The 17541-nt window shown below is 46.3% G+C and overlaps 1 protein-coding gene across 5 annotated transcripts in view; it reads right to left on the bottom strand.

Annotated features, from left to right (window-relative positions):
* Positions 594-17541, bottom strand: part of DRP2 (dystrophin related protein 2) — a 44717-nt gene continuing 27769 nt past the window's right edge. For all 5 annotated transcript variants that reach the window (NM_001939.3, XM_017029333.2, XM_047441894.1 and 2 more), the window contains 12 exons: positions 16806-17007; positions 16497-16582; positions 14516-14673; positions 14013-14179; positions 12380-12491; positions 10535-10671; positions 10172-10237; positions 9847-9912; positions 8835-8978; positions 6550-6787; positions 4927-5047; positions 594-4599 (listed from right to left, as the gene is read on the bottom strand). In NM_001939.3, coding sequence (NP_001930.2) covers positions 4475-4599; positions 4927-5047; positions 6550-6787; positions 8835-8978; positions 9847-9912; positions 10172-10237; positions 10535-10671; positions 12380-12491; positions 14013-14179; positions 14516-14673; positions 16497-16582; positions 16806-17007 — 1622 coding nt within the window. In that variant the 3' untranslated portion in view covers positions 594-4474. The remainder of the gene's footprint in view (positions 4600-4926; positions 5048-6549; positions 6788-8834; positions 8979-9846; positions 9913-10171; positions 10238-10534; positions 10672-12379; positions 12492-14012; positions 14180-14515; positions 14674-16496; positions 16583-16805; positions 17008-17541) is intronic.

Genomic DNA, 17541 nt, shown 5'->3' with positions numbered 1-17541 from the left:
AAGAAAAAGAAAAAGAGGGACTGACAGGGTTTTACTTATTGACAGGATATATATACACACACAGGATATATATATATAGATGGATATATATATATACATACACATACTATATATATATTACGGATATATACACACACACACTATATATATATATATATATATAGTGTGTGTGTGTGTGTCTGTGTGTGTGTGTATCCGTAATCTCAGAATAAAAGGTAGACCTTTAAACTTAATATAATTTTATGAAAACTCAATGCATTGTCCTGACTTTTCTTACAATGCTTCAGGCTGGTGAAAAACCCTCAGATTGAGGAGGATGAAATTTAGAAACGATTGCTACATACAGCTCATCTCATAAGGCGCTAACTAGCTAATTTGGGGAGGGCTGGGAGGATGTTGAGAGGTGATTAATCCGGGTAACAGTGGCAGATGAGCCCAATGGGGAGGTCTTTTTGTGTCCCACAGGTGTTGGACTCATCTGGTAGCCTTATGTTTTACAGTACTTCTGTGGCTTCTTGGTCTACCCTCTCTTCCCACCCCCAAATAAGGGAAAGATATGAAATATCAGACTCAGAGAGTATAACCAGAGGAACCAAAGTAAACAAGTACAAATTTATTCTTTTCAAAGCAGAATTCAAGGGAAAGGGGGAAAGCACCACAGTGAGTGGCAATCAAAGTTAACCAATTTGTTCCCAACCCTGTCCCTTTGTCCCCTAGACTTCCATGCCACCCTTGTCACCTCCCCCAAATCCTTTCCCCAATTTTCATCCTGTGACCAGTTCTTGTAGCCAGCAAGCAGCATACCAGACTTCGGTCAGGCCTCAATACTGCCATAGGGGACAGCAAGGGCATTCAGCAGGCCCCCTCTCAAATGTGGCAACTGTGGGAGAAGATGGACTCTGCGAGCTGAGCCCTGGCCTTGAGCCTTTCCTTCTCCCACAGCCATTGGTGTTAAAAGAGTAAGAAGTAGCTAAAGTGTTCCTTGTTCCTACGGGAACCACCCAGCTGAAGAATTAAGTCTCCACAGCCTCAGGACAAGGCCCCCAGTTTTTTTCCCAGAACTGTTCGAGTTAAGGCAGCTACTTTCTTGCTTTTCTGTCATCTATGTGAAGGGAAATTGGATGGGATTTTTGGCCTTGAAATGGTGCCACAGACCATGACTCTGCCACTGAGAATGTGAGTTCAAATGCTGGATATAGAGCCCAAATCTCAAGCACACACATCAGGAAGCACAGATATTCCTTAAAATGAATCTGGAGGGAAAACATCTCCTAGGATTGGCCTCTTCCTGGCCTCAGGGTTTCTCATTTCTGTGTCCTGCCAACCCATTTCCTGGAGCACCAGAAACTCAAACAGATTTCTCTGTAGGGAAATAGTTCCCAACCTTGGACCTTGAAGAAAATGAGCACTTGAAACTCTTGATTCTAGCCTTTCTAATCTGGAGGGAAGGGCACATGTCCTCCCTAGGGAAGCATAGCACAGCCTGATGTCCTCCAGCTAGTCAGCCTTCCGTGACAATGCCCAATCAATGTGAATCCACTCTGCTGTCACTGGAAGCAGAGGTATCCTCGTAATGGCTTTTTGGCCTCTATCAAATTCTGTCAAGAAGAAATCACCTCTCAGTCCTAACTGTTCTCTGATACTATTTGACAACAACCCCAGCAAATGCTCACATTCCTTATCATTGATGCTAATCCCACAGTCAGAAGGTTTTCTTTAGGCTATCAATCTAGCAACTCCCTTCACCATCCTTCCAGTGTAGGGCTATAAACTACACAGTGCCATGCACAATATCCTTAGAAGACTAATACACAACAAGATGTCTAACAACATACAACACATTTTGGTAAATCCAACCCCAAGTTGGATTCATAGTACCCAAGGATCCATTTACCTTACTGTGGGAAAATTCCCCACACATACTGCAGTGACTGTCCCTGGACCCTTGAACAATACACTCACCTTAGGCATTAAGGTAAACACAGGACCACAAAATGTCAGTGACCCCTTAGTGAGAATTCAACTCTTGACCTGCTGCTTCAGTCCACCTACAACGCAAATCCTACATAACAAGATCTACATCTTTTCTACCATGCCTGGCCCACTGCAGTTGCCACAGGCCCTCAGCAGCCCAAGAGCTCTCAGGTGGGGTGGGGATAACAGAAAAGATTTTCCAGGACTTTCCTGGTAAAAAATTGCTCCATAACATGTACCCGCCTAAGGCTTAGGCAGGCATATGCCTCCAAAGTCCTTGAGCCCTCCGTCCCACATTCCCGCCCACAATCTAGGCTTCTACAAATATGCTCCCACTCTGACTGATGCCCAGGTTCTATGATTGATGCCCGCCTACCACCTGCTCAACCATCTATCCAGATACCCAGTTCTCCTGCCCAGAGACCTCATGAACACTAAGGCAGATGTTATGCTGTGAAGTCTGACACCCTGGACCTGTGACTTAGTGGTGGAGGAGGCAACCCTAAGCTTCTGGACCCAAGCCACTGCCCTGCCTCCCCTGCAGCAGATCAAACTAGGTTCCTAGCAGTTCTACCCACTGGCCCACTGCTGGATTATAATACAACACCCCAACCGTCACTCCCTCCTGATTGTGGTGGCAACTGTTGCTTTCTTTAGCCCTGAGTGAGACCATAAGAGCTGGAAGGGACCAGAGAATGTTCTCTGTGTCTTAGCTGGCAAAGGCTAATAAAGGCCTGTTTGTCCTTTTCTGCATGGGGTGGGCAGAGCTTGGGTTTGCTCTATTTTGGCACCTGAACCATTTAGGGGAGCCCAGGAAAATTCACCCAAGGCCCAGGTCTCAAGGGAACAAGATTTGGAATGAGTGAAGAGAACAGTGACTCTTCCTGTTAGATTCTCTGTGACCACAGGTTTCTGTTGCTTTGGTCTTGAGGACAGCCCACCCCAAACATCAATGGAGAGAGATATCCTAGGGGAACAGCCAGGATACATCTATCTTTCCAACCAGAGGCTGGGGCTAACAAAGAGCAAGGCAGAACATTAATACTTCAAGAGGTATTAGAATTTAATGTGTGAGTGAGGCCAGGAGAGCACTGATGTACAGTAGATATGTAGAATAGATATGTATGTATATAAACTTAGGCAAATGAAGTCAACTGCAGGGCTCTAGGTTATAAAGCTCCTCTTGGGAGAAAGCTGCCTAAGTGGGCTCTGAATCTATTCAACATTCCCAAGCCCACTCCCCCACCCCTACTATCTATTCTGAACAGTTTCTGGATAAAGAGATCATGGTATATGTCGCCTAGGAAGAGCTAGTTCAGTTTGAGGATTGGATTCACCTTCCAGAGTTAGAAATAACAATTTTAGGCACAGGAAGGCCTTGCTGTTGTTGTCTGGGTGGAAAGTGGCCAGCTTCCTGATTTGTGGCCTGTGGCTCCTATGGAGGGGCCACTACACACGGTAGCCAGTTGCAAATGCCTTATGATTAGCTGGGGACAATCAGCCACCTCACCTGATTCAGCCTGAGAGCTAGAAGGGTCACAGCCTGGAAGGGTGTTGGATGGCAGTCATACTACTCCAGACTTGAGGTGGGCTTCCTCTTCCTTACCCAAGGAAAGCAACACTCCCTTGCTCAGCAAGCTGCCACTGTGTCCTCAGGTCTGTGAGGACAGACTCAGAGGAGCAAAGGGTGGCTTCAGCCAGGTTTCCAGAGCAACTCGCAACTCAGTGGGTCTCTCAAAATGCTGAGGACTTTAAGAAATAGGAAGATGTGGGGCAAAAAAAAAATCTAAACCCATAAGTATGGATTTAATGCTTCCAAATATAACGTAGAAGAACCAGAATGAACTGTTCTCCCCTTAAGGAAGGTCTGTCAGGGACTGAGGCTAAAGAAAATGAAGATATTTGAGGAGAAACCAATACCTAGGTAGCATTAGGATGGCTAGCAATCTGTCCTGGAGCTGAAGTAATAGAACACACACTGCCCAGACTTTTTCAGGGGCACTTGGGGTGGGGAAGGTGTCTCGGGGATACCCTTTTGCCTCCCTGAGTTGCGCCAGAGAGTAGGGGTAAACCCTGTGGATTCATAATGCTGGATGGAACCTTGGGGTAATTAGGCTTCTCTCTTTCCATAATTCCACGGAGAAGGAAGAGGGGCCAACATGTACCGCTTAGCTCTGCAAGGCAGCTTCTCTGCTCCCCATCTGAATGGCCAAGTGATATTTGCCTGGGCTGCAACAGAAAGGTACTTAAAGGGCTGATCTCGAACTTGAAGATTAAAGGGAACATTTCTAGGGTCAGAAGAATCATGCCTCCCCTTCTCCCATCACTGCCCGCATGCACCTCACATACCACCAGATCCCTGCTGCTGCCCAGAGCCCAAATAATACTAGTTGAGGAATGTGGGGCCAGTGGAAACTGGAAAGGTTGGGTGAAGGCTGAGGAAAGGCTTTGACCGGAACCAGGAGAGGACTATGAACTATAGGATGGGGATCTGGCTCCATCAAGAGGCCAGCAGGGTGTTGGCAGTCACATCAGAACTTCGCACACTGGGGAAGGCATGACGGAGTTTCTCCATGATGTCCTCCAAGCACAGGCTGACATCCTGGCTCTTTGACCCCACATCATCTGGGTTAAAAAACAGAGATTTGAGAAGAGAACTAGAGACTCCTTTATGAGGCCAAGGGGTCAGATAGAATTCTGCCAGCTGAAGGGCAGACCTGCCCGCAGCATTTGCATCTTCCCAGCACAATGCCTAATACATAGGTTGTGCTCAATGTATATTTATTTGTGGAATAAGCATATGAATTAATCAATCAGTAAACCAATCATCCCTGACCCTAAGCACAAAGCCAAGAGGAGAAACCAGTCCCAGCCCCGCAAAGCCTTGGGCAGGAAATCGAGGGCAGGACAAAGCCATGGAGAAAGGGGCTGGGAAAGGCCAGGGGAACTCACCTGCAGCCTCGGTATCTGGAGTAGTCTGTCCCTTCTCCCGGGGGTGACTGCCTTCTGACTGCTGTGGAGAGGAAGCTAGGGACGAGCCTGCAGAGCCACTGCCATCTGATTCGGTGGGTGGCTAGCAAGAGGTAAGGCATGACTTAAGTGGATTTGCCTTCCTGACCTTACTCTGACAGACTCCTGAGCTTAGAAGGGACCTGAGAGACTTCATACCATCCCTTTACCCTTAGACTTTAAGAAGCTTTTGGTATTACCTAAAACAGTGGCTTCCACTTTTAGGAAACTTCTTAGAATATTGAATTACCCATTACCTTCTTCCTTTAACAACATGTGTCAAAGGCTCCCAGTTCTTATAAGAATGGCATTGTAGGCTGGGCGCGGTGGCTCACGCCTGTAATCCCAGCACTTTGGGAGGCTGACGCAGGCGGATCACCTGAGGTCAGGAGTTCAAGACCAGCCTAACCAACATGGAGAAACCCCGTCTCCACTAAAAATACAAAATTAGCCGGGCATGGTGGCCCATGCCTATAATCCCAGCTACTTGGGAGGCTGAGGCAGGAGAATCGCTTGAACCTGGGAGGCGGAGGTTGCAGTGAGCTGAGATCGAGCCATTACACTCCAGCCTGGGCAACAAGAGCCAAACTCTGTCTTGAAAATTAATTAATTAATTAATTAATTAAATAAAGAATGGCATTGTACCTAAAGGTCTCTTGCTGTCATTTCAGCTATAATTAAGCTATTTAGAACACAATTCTCTCTGGAAATGTAGAGTTTCACACCTGATCCTTGGTTCATGACATAGCATATGTTAGAAACCTCCAGGAATCCATAGAGGCCATTCCTTGGAGGATCTGGGGAAGAGGCAGAAGAGTGGTATTTTCCATTACATATAATGACAATAATAGGTAACATTTATGAAGTGTGTACTAAATTCCTGGCATCATGCTAAATTCCATAAATGCATTATCTCCTTTTATGTTCACCACAATTCTATGAAGTTGGTACTGTTACCATCTCTGTTGTACAGATGAGGAAACTGGGGCTTAGAGAGGTTAACTAACTGTCCAAACACCCCACAGTCAATTGGCAGAGCCACATGCAAACCCAGAGCTGCCTGACTCCAGAGCTTTACCACAGCATACACATTGCCTCTCAGAGATGAAAGGTGCAAAAAGTAACAAGAAACACCTTTAGATAGCACTAATCTTTCTCTTGCCAAACTTGTCCCAACCCACTTCTTTCTAGCAAATACCATACTAGCAAAATCAATGTTTTAGATGATTTTTGAAGTTTGTTCTTTTAGTATGGGATTCCAATGGGTTGTGAAGAAATAAGCCCTCAGAAGTCTTCTCTCTGCCCCAGGCCCCACAGTGGCTGGAGAGTGACACACAGGGTGGCATGGAAGGTAGGTGGAAGAGAGTTGGCTGAAGATGTGACCATACCAGTCTCTTCTTTCCCCCGCCCCCCCACCAACCGCAGGCCCAGTTCTCTTCAGGAAGTTACCTGACAGCCACTGCCAAGGAGCTCTCTCTTGTGTCTTCTTTGCCACAGCCCTCAGCTCCCCAGCCCTTCCCCTGGGCTCAGAGGCCACCCTGGCTCTTTTCCTGTCTCCATCCTCACCTGCAGGAGAAGCTCCCTCAGACGCTGCAGCTGGGACTCTAGCTGCTTGTTGTGATCTTCGAGGATCTGCATGCGCGTCTCCAGGCGGCTCTTATGTTGCCGAAGGATACGGGCCTCGGCCAGAAGCTCCTCATTGCGGTGGTCTGTTGCTGCCTCAGTGGAGCCGTCAGCCAGACTGGGTGCCTCAGCTGCCTCCTCATGCTGCCACTTCAGGCGCCTCAGCTCTCCCTGGAGAATCCTGCCATGGAGAGAGACACCAAGACCTATGGCTCTAACAGGGCTCTGACTGTCCAGGTTTCAGATGTCCCCTCAGGCCTAGGTGTGAACAATCCCTGTGCTCTTCCACCCTACCTCACCCCCACCCCCATCCCCACCCCCAGCTGTGCTCTTGCTTGAATGGCCACATCCACTTCCTCTCCAGCACATATGTCATTTACTCTGCCATCCTGAGACCTCAGAGCAGAGAAAGTTGACATTTTGCGTAAGAAATGTCTCAGGGCTTTGATGTGCTGCTTTAGGGATTAATTCTGACCTTAAAATCAGGCAGAAACACAGTCTGCAAATAAAGGAGGCATTAGGGCCACTGACTCACCTACTCCATTTTTAGATGTTTAGATTCCAAGGGAAAACATAACATAAACAAGAGACCACCTGTCTTGCCTCTTCTCTCCACAATCCTCCTCTTTGGCCCACTTTGAACACCCATGCTGGGTCATCAAAAAAACAAATTCCAAACAGGTGGCCTACTTTTGGGGATATCACTTTTGGCTTTGTTCGTTTTTTCTTTATTTGCAACAGAACAGTCACTCTCAGCCCAGTGTTTCCCAGGGCCTGCAGACTGCTGCTCAAAGGCAGTGTTTCTCAAATGATTCATGGCAAAAATCCAGGTTTTTTTTTTTTTCACTCTGTTGTGGACCAGTATGTGGTCCCAATGCACATGACTAGTACATAGCTCACACCACGTAATTCATCACACAAGTTCAACAACACTCAAACTGGTCTCTACCCTATTCAACGAGATGAGCCTACTAATTTGGTGCTTGAATATCATAGCAATGTCAAATTGCTGTAAAAGTTTCTAAAAGCTTACTCTCTCTTTTTTTTTTTTTTTTTTTTTATCTTGCCTTGGACTGGTCACAAACTGGTCACAAACTGGCCCTGGTCTGCTCTCCAAACTCTGAGTAGCACTGTTCTAAAGACTTGCTACTCCAAGTGTGGCCTGTGGAACAGCAGTATGGGCATCCACTGGGAGCTAGTGAGAAACGCAGAAACTCAGGCCCCACCCAGACCTGTGACTTAGAATTTGTATTTTACCAAGCTTCCCAAGTGACTATCTTATGCACTACTGTTTGCAAAGCACTGCTCTAAGGGGTACTACGAATTCTACTTCATGCCCCATAAGAGGCTTGGACCCTCCTTAGGTACCTGCTGCCACCTTTACTTTATGGAAAGTCATGTCTTCCCTGTATTCTTCTTCACCATCCCTATTCCAGACCTCCAACGCTCTATGTAGTGTCATTGTCCTCTGGAATACTTTTACTAGGTGATACACATTTCTTTCCACTTCCAACATTGAAAGGTCTCTGAGGGCAGGAACATGTCATACCCTCTCCTGTTTTCTCTATGCATTCTCTCTGCTTGCATCTTGTGTGTTCTTGGAAAAATTTGGGTTACATTAAAAGGATTCAGGCCAGGCACAGTGGCTCATGCCTGTAATCCCAGCACTTTGGGAAGCCGGGGTGAGCAGATCACTTGAGGTCAGGAGTTCAAGACCAGCCTGGCCAACATGGTGAAACCCCGTCTCTACTAAAAATACCAAAAAAAAAAAAAATTAGCCAGGCATGGTGGTGCATGCCTGTAGTCCCAGCTACTCGGGACGCTAAGGCATGAGAATCGTTTGAACTCAGGAGCCAGAGGTTGCAGTGAGCCGAGATCACGACACTGCACTCCAGCCTGGGCAACAGAGTGAGACTCTGTCTCAAAAAAAAAAAAAATTTAAAAGTTTTCAAATAATTATTATAATAGCTAGCATTTATTGAACCCTTACTATAAGCCAGGCACTGAGCCAAACACATTATATGCCTGATCTCATTTGGTCTTCACAAGTGACCCTAGGAGGCAGGTTTGATGATCATCATCCCCGTTTTACAGATAAGGAAATAGAGGATTACAGAATATAAGTAACTTGCTCAAGGTCAGACAGCTAGGATGTAGAAGTGCCTGGACTTAAATTCAATCTGTCTGCCTCAAGAACCCACACAGATTTCTGCTATCATCACACCCACCGGTTCTCATCTTCCAAGTGGGCCAGGATCTTCTGTAGCTCCCCTTTGCTTTCTGTGGCCACACTGCATGGAGCCTGCTGTCCAAAGGCTGGCTCCCGGTCTGTGATGGGGCTGGAGTGCCGCAGCAGGTACTGGTCCTCGTCTCTGCATGGGTGTGGGGAAAGCAGAGTAGGTGACCAGTTGTTGAACAGAGAAACAACTCAGCTCTCAGCTCAGGCCCCAGGAAATGCATGCTGGAGGATTCACTTCTAAGTCACATCGAGAGGGAAAGGACATATACTGAGGCTTGAGAGGGATGAAAGTGTTCAAAGGAGGCAGAGGCTGTGGTTGGGGGTATTGAGAGAGTGTTTTCAGGATGCAGGTATCTGGGTTCTACTTACAGCCCACCCCCCTCCCCGGGAAACAATGAGCAAATCATTTCCCTTTCTGTGCTGTTCCCCTACTCTACCCTCCTTTGTTTCCTCTTCCTCTAGAGGGATCTGGGTCCCAGTCAGGGCAGATTGATCCATGTAGCCAGAAGCTCCTAGGACCTCTGAGCAGGGTGGGGACCTCCCTAGAGACACAAGGCCCCTTCTCTGGGCTGTCATACCAGGGAGTTCCCTTGGCTATAGTTCAGCCAAGTCCCTGATGTCTCCCAGGGTTAGTGTAGCACTAGATAGGGCTTTGGCATCTTGAGCACAAGATAATGGCTCCTTTCTGCAACTTCAGATGAGGGAGGGCATATTCTTCGTTCCTCAAAGTTGTGTATAGAAGGATGGGATCTTGCAACAGGAAGGGACTTGGAAAGATGGCAGAGAGCTAGTACATCACTCATTTCCTAGGTTGATTGATAGAGGGAAGACTGCCTTTCTTACTGAACACCGTGCCCAGAAAGCAGCCTTCCTTCCTTAGGGAGCTAAGGATCCTAACCACCACACACCCCCATTCCCTGGAGGATATACCCTTCCCAAACAGTGGCACAAAGATCTCAAGGAGAACTATTTCTGGCAAATAAGCAGCTGTGGAAACTCACATGCTGTCATCTGGGGACAAGCTGTCATTAAAGAAGGAGCAATTTTGACTTTCCATCTCAGCAAGCCTAGGAATAAAGAGCAGAGGCAGGAGAGAAAACAGGATGTGGGGCCTGCTTCCATCTCAAGGACTTTAATCTCACAGCAGGATCATTGGCTTTGAGAGCTGCCCCAACTACTCCTAAGTGTTGGGTCTTGCTGGCTGCTGCACACCCCACTGTGCACATCCCCTGGCCCTGACTCCATTCTCCTTGCCCCGACTGAAGATCCTTTCCCCTCGGACTTCCTACAACAGCTCCTACCCACCTCCCGCAAACCTGGTGGTACCTGCTGGCAAAATGCTCAATTCGGGAGTGTGTGTCGGCGTGTGGCCACATCGGGGAAGAAGCCGGCCTAGAAGAAAGCAGCAAAGACTCGGAGGACCAAAGACTGGGCAGCCTGTTTCCTCCTCCCTCTCCTGCTCCCTACATTATGGACATGGGCAAGAGCTGATGGGAACAAAATACAAAGACTGGATTCCAGTCTACTTCTCAGGCCAGAGTGCAGGTCAGGCCCAAGCTGAACGGCCCTATCACTAGTGGGATTTACCTTGGAACATTCTCCTAGCCCACTCGGGACTCAGCCCCTTCACAGCATACGATCGGGCTCAGTGAGGCTGCCCACAGCCCCTGCTCAGCCACCAGTACTCACGTCTCACTGTAGTCAGCCTCCAGCACTGATTGCACAGGCAGATAACCTCGCTGAGGGTGTTTGCTGAAATAATGCTTGGAGCGGAATTTGTTCTTTAAGGTTGTGGCAAAGTCCCTCATGTTCTCACTGGATGTGGTCTGAGGAGGAGACAGGGCAGAGGAACTTACCCTAATGGCTTCCAGATATACTGGGCAGGTGTGGCTGCTCTGCTAGAGCAGACAGCCTGCTGGGTAATCCACTCTTGCTCATGCCCACCATACCCTGCTCCTAGAAGAAGGTCTGGGAGGATATATGCCAAACTCAACACTGGTTGCCTCTGGGAAGTTGAACTGGAGGGGTGGGGGCCAGGGTGAGGAGACAGGAGGACTTTCATTTTATACTTAAAAATTTAATTGTCTCAGTTCCTCTAAAAGCAAAACTAATAATAATAATAATTAATTTTGTAGAGACAGGGGTCTCACTGTGTTACCAAGGCCGGTCTTGAACTCCTGGGCTCAAGAAATCCTCCTACCTCGGCCTCTCAAAGTGTTGGGATTACAGGTGTGAGCCATGGCACCCAGCCTTTTTTTTATACTTTAAACGCTTTTATATGATTCCAATATTTTATAATGAGCATATGTTTGTTAATTTTTAAAATAGCTTTTCTATGAATTCTAAGGATGTAGAGGACGAGCAGGTGGTAGAGGATTATCAGTCTACCAGATCCAGCCAGTTTTCCATGTATGACTTTTCTAATGTTTTCTTTAAAATGATAATAAATGAAAAGTAAAGGGCATGGTCCCTGTTCCCACCAGGCCACACGTTTCTGTGTCAACAGGATTTGAAGAGATGAAAGCTTGGACAGATGGATTGTGGGGAAACAGGTTGAAAAATAGGAGACACTAGCTACTTGGGAGGCTGAGGCAGGAGAATCGCTTGAACCTCAGAGGCAGAGGTTGCAGTGAGCCAAGATCGCACCATTGCACTCCAGCCTGGGTAAGAGTGAGACTCTGTCTCAAAAAAAAAAAAAAAAAAAAAAAAAGGTGAAAGTAAAATTAAAAAAAAATTCTAAAAAAAAAAAAGAAAAATAGACAGAATAGGGGAGAGAGAGCAGTGGTGGGAGCTGGGGATATGATCAGGGCTTTGGGAGCATCTGCGGGGACAGAAAAGGATAAAGATGAGTAGGGAGCAGAGTCAGTGCTGGAAGCTAAGCATGGAGCTGTGGGTTTTAGACACAGCACAGGAGCAACTCTGTGGCTGGAGTTCAGGGATGCTGACTGAACTGGGCTAAGGCAAGTATGGAGGACATGGTTACCAGGGAAAACCAAGTGGAGTTTGGGGGTCCAGGTAAAGGACATACCTTTCTTTTTTCCCTCCAAGGGATGAATAATTAATTTGAGCATAAGCTTTGGTACTGACTAGAAGGGGTAGAAATAATGACAAAGCATCAGGGAAAGACTGAGTGACCCAGTACAGAAGCAATATAGGAAGCTAGCCAGGAAAAACTCAAGTGAGCAATGGAAGGCGAATCACCTGGAACTGCCTTGCTCTCTCTGTTTTAGTTTGTTTGTTTGTTTGTTTTGCTTTGTTTTGTTTTTCCTGAGACTTTTCTCTGCAGTAAAACAGTGAGTGCCCTTTAAATGGCTGAGAGTGTCCTGGGCCAGCTGTGGCCAGGCCTGGTGAGGGAGAAGCTCTGCTGGAAGAATAGAGAGGCCTGAATTTCCCAAACCAGTGAATCACCAGAGCTCCTTGGAGAATGCTCCCCACGGGAGAGCAGAAAACAATGAGCCAATGCTGGGCAAAGTGGATCAAGGCCTAGTACCTGAGAGCTGCCTAACCCTCCCACCCAGCCTGGAGGCTTCATACCGGTGTGTAATACTCCATGATGGGGTAGTGCAGCTTATTGCCTTTGCTGGCCCTGCCTGTCAAGAAGCAGGTCTGGCAGATGTCAACGTTGAATTGCTTCAGACTCCGGTACCTTGGGGGAGAGGAGATGTAGTAGGAAAGAGAGTCCAACGTGCCACAGTGACCTCCCCGCTGTTCCCCTAACATTAAAATATACACACACAGTAGAAGGGGATGAATGAGGCATGGAGCCATAACATGCCCAACCTCGTATACATAGCAGTGGCTGAATTCTCAATAGATGAATAACTTTATTCTAGAGACCATAAATCTCTATGAAATCACAAGGCCAGATTCCCATGAAGTGTGGGAAATAGCATTGTCTCACCACCTTTGTTTAAGGGAGACAGGAGGGAAGCAGGGGTAAATATCTCATCATATCAAATGGCCTTCTAAACAAGGATGGCCCAAACAGGTCCAGGCTCCCAGGGACCACCACCTACCCTGGAGAAATTACACTTCCAATATGAAGGCAGTTCTTTCTACCAGCCTTGGCTAAGTTGGCTAAAAGTTATTTCCAAAGGTTGTTCATAATAATATACCTATTATTGCAGAACAAAGAATAGCCCTTCAGATCTACTTCCAAAGCCTGGCTGAACTGCCCAACCTTGTAGCATAGGACAGTGAAATGCCTAGACTTAGAGGAGTCATATGATCCAATATCTAGTCTAGATCTACCACTAACTAGCTGTGTGCCTCATTTGCTCATCTTACGAAAAGCAGGGTGATGACAGGGAGAGTTGTGGGTTAGTGTTTTACAAAGGTAAAAAGTTGAGTGTTTTATGATGAAAGTCCAATCCAGGATAGTGGTTACCTTTGTTGGGGAAGGAGAGGAATATAATCAAGGAGACCTCAGATGTATTGCAGTAATGTTTTATTCCTTAAGTTGGTCACAGGTATATACTGTGGTGTGCTGATGCCAGCTCATACCAGCTCACGACAGTTGGCTGTTAAAATTTCAGGGGTTTTCTAAGCCAGTTGTTAAATCTAGCCATTATTAAATTATATAAACTCACAATTAAATAAATTATATTACAAACAAAGGTAATAAATACTCAAAACTCATTACTTCCTAATTACTTTGCTACTCTCTATGTTCTTGAGGTTACTTAACATCTATTGTATCTGCATGGTTGACATACTATATAAATGGTGTGCAACTGAGGATCTGTTTCTGACTCTGCTCAGAGACCTCTTGTAAATAGCCTGATGTCATTCACAGTGGGAGTATATACATCACAGAAATTAGCAAATGCTACAGATCAGCTTTCCTTTTTTCTTTCTAGAGAGTAGGTTGTGAACCATTTGCTGGCATACCATTTAGTACATAGGTGCTCTTACACCTATGTTCTTCTATACATTTTTGTAGGTCTGTAATACTTTATAATACAACTAAAACAAAATATTTCCTCACTTCCCATTTAAAAACAATTAAACATTCTGCAATATAAAGGATTATAACAGTATATAATAATGTACAATAGACTAGCTGTAATTATATAATAATTAGGTGACACTTTATTTTTTAATATCTGAGTTATATGTCACATGACATATTTATTATTATCATCCCAGCAGGTATTGTTTTCCCTACCTGAACCCCTTGATGGGGCACTGCCTACAGATAGAGCACTTGGTCTGATGCTTCACTTGCTCAGCAATGGTGACCCGATGCAGAACAGCCAGCCACACCATGGACTGGGGCTCCAGGTTGACCCACTCCAGGAACTGGGATGCTTCAATGACTGGCTTCCCGGTGCTCTACGGAAACAAGAAGACCAATGGGAATGACTGAGGCCCAAAGTGTCTTATCCCTAGAATGGCAGCCCTCAGAGGGGCAGGAGAACCAGCAGGGGCTGGGTTGGCCTGTTCTCCAGAGATGTTCACGTTCTGCCCTGTGCTAGTTGAGCTGACACCCTCCCTAACAGGACTATGATTCTAGAGCCCAGAGAACCCTCTGCCCTGTTGTTCCATCCCAATAAACTCCCTTGCATCTGCGTACTTCAGATCAAAAGCCTAGCTCGTAGTCCTCCTTCCCTTCTTCCCACCCTTCCTGCAACCTCCCTTCCCTCCCCCACTCCCCAGTTCCATACTCACAAAACGGAAGCAACTACGGACACTGGGCTCCACATTGCTGCCCCCAAAGGCTGCCACTTCACCCAGCTGACGGGGCACCTGAATGGCCTCATGAAGCAGGACACCAAGGTGGCGCTGGTCACACTGGCTGCCTGAGTTGGCCACTTGGCTGAAGAGGTCTGCTGGCCCCACCGTCAAGAATGGCCAACCCCGACACAGGAATGGCCGGAGAATGGTGAGGAGAAAGGGCAGAAAAGGAAAATAGGGAAAGAGCACAGACTGAGCTAATGACTTTTCAAACTGGACTACATAGAGGTCTATCCCTGACCTTCTAGTAGCCGAGTTCTAAAAAGAGCATTCTCTGAGTTCAGAGAGAAAAATCAGGCCAACACAAAGAGAGAATATCAGGGGGAGGGGGAGACAGAGAGAGAAAGAGTGAGAGAGAGTGAAAGCAAGAGAGAGAGAGGTCGAGTGCACTGTGTGTAAGAGCAGTGCCAGACACAGATATGATACTGTTGGGAAAACAGATTCTTCCAGAAGCAGGATGATGGGGTACGGGCTCAGGGGCACCTGAACATGAGTCACAGTCAGGCTGCCATACCATCTCTCCTGTTTATGTAGTCTGACACTGCAGTAATCTCTCAATTGTCCACACAAATGGAAGGAAACACTGGCATGCATAATCCAAAAAGAGAAGCTAATTCAAAACATCTGATCATCTAAAAATTATCTCTAAGTCTCTGTGGAATCTACTATGATACTTATCTTTGTATATGGGTTATTTAAGCCCTTCTAGGACTGTTCCCTTCCACATCCCAATTCAGCCTTAGCAAACCTCCTCCAGAGGTTATTCTCTGTCTGCTTCATACCTTGATTAAGGCTTAGAAAATACACAGAAATAGAAGGCAGAGAGCCTAGGTTCGAGTTTTGGGTCCATTACTGCCTAGTTGTAGAATCATAGGTAAGTCATGAACCTCTCTATGCTGCCATTTCCTTACTTTTTAAAATTAGAAATGGAGTCTCACTATATTGTCTAGGCTGGACTTGAACTTCTGGGCTCAAGTGATCCTCCCACCTCGGCCTCCCAAAGTGCTGGGATTACATGCATGAGCCACCATGCCCAGCCCAGTTTCCTTACTTTTAAATTGATGATAAATAATCACTGTTCATCCCATTGCAAGGAAATGTTGAGAGAAATACATAATATCATAGCCACGAACATGTTTGGAAACGTTCTCTTCCCTGTAAAGTTTTTCCAGACTGCTGTCATCTGTCTCTTTTCTGTCATATGATATAGGATATATTTTTGGCCATTTGGATTATTCTCATCAGTACTTTCTAAAAAATGCTTTCTGTGTACTTCCATCTCCTCCTCTGGACTGTAAATCATTGGAAGCAGGGACCACGTCTAATTTAACTTAGCACTCACCCCATTTAGCAGTCACATATTAGGACTCAACAACTAATCATGCTGCTACTGAGAAGTTCAAAATGCTGAACACAAGATGGAGGACAGAGGGGAACACAAAGGTACTATAAGCCAAAGATGTGAAAAACTACAGAAGAACATAGTGTCCGCCTCCCAGATATTGGGTATTATTGTGCCCTGCCTGTGTATATAAGAAGTCTCTAGTGACATGGCTTGAGCTTCAGACTGGAAGAGGGCTAAGCCTGATAGGCCACAGGGGAATGCAACTAGAACATCAGGGCCCTGGGTACCTCAAAATGCCAACATAGATCCTGACTAAGTACTTCCATCAATTCAGAAGGAATGAAGCCCGTTGGAGTGACACTGGGAATAGTAATAGGCCTTAGGCCCATCTTGTCCTTTGGCTGTCATGTGTTCTTTGCAACAGTGTGAACCAAGAAGCATCATAAGGTAGCCCAAGTAGCCCTCTGCTGAGTCACAAGATGTACTTTCTGCTTATCTTACACCCTTCCTCCTCCCTGCAACACCTTTCCCTCTACCCAACACCACTCCACACTTTGGAGTTCTACTCACACTGAAGTTTTTCCTTCACTTCCGTGCCACACAAGCATGCAATGCCAGTCTTAAAAGACAATGCCCGCATCTTTCCGCTGCGACCACTAGGTTTAAAAAGAAGAGACTGAGAATATGAATGTATGTAAAGGGTTAACATCTTGGCAATCATTTCCCTCACAAAGTTGATCCCAGCAGGGCCCTGTTCCAACCATGCCCCAAGCTGAGCTGGGTCCAAGTCTACTATGGGAGCAACACCTTCCCACCAGGCCCACTTGAGATATCCCATTGAATTTTATCCTGGAGGCTTCCAGAGCTGAAAGCCCTTACCTATCAAAAACATTGAGGAGCCAATTGAGGCTCATGTCCACACAGAGTGGCACGTTGACCAGGATGCCTCTTTCCTCCTCCAAACGTTCATATAAGGCAGTCAGGCAGTGAATGACCTCTACCACATCCATCACGTGCTCACTGGCCTGCAGATCATGCTCATTGAAGATTTCCAGGGCTGTGGTTAAAGTTACCAGGTCCACTGGTAAGGAAAGAAGAGAAGAGAAAAAAAATATAGCCAAAAGTAGAACCCCAGGGATTAAATAAGGAGATAAAGCCACCAGCATCACCAAATTTGACTCAATCTCCAGATCAACCATTTGCAAATATGATACAAGCTTGTCCTTTACTAAGACCCTCATCCAAGGAGGCAGAAGGCAGCAAAATGTTCCTCAAATTAACCCAACATGTTTTTATATCCAATGTTCTTTGACATCAGTTTCAAAAAGATGATGGGACATGAGTAAACTCAACTCCTATGTTATACTAACTCTCAAGGGATCAAATCCCATTTTAAGTTTCTGTCTTTGCATGAGTTTCAATTGCAAATAGGTTCGTCTGTAAGTTTTGTTCTGAGAACCTAGACACCAGCAATGAAGGCTCAGGTATGGTTGGGGAAATGTGACATACATCAAGAGGACATCTTAATTACCCCCAAATGCTGGCTCAGCCTAGCCAGACATGCCTGAGCCAGGAAGTCTGAATGAACAGTGTCTCCGAGAAAGGCCAGAAGGCA

The sequence above is a fragment of the Homo sapiens genome, chromosome X, assembly GCF_000001405.40.
Source record: "Homo sapiens chromosome X, GRCh38.p14 Primary Assembly".
Classification (NCBI taxonomy): domain Eukaryota; kingdom Metazoa; phylum Chordata; class Mammalia; order Primates; family Hominidae; genus Homo; species Homo sapiens.
Note: the sequence above shows the minus strand (reverse complement) of the source record. Positions and strands in the feature narration are given on the sequence as shown.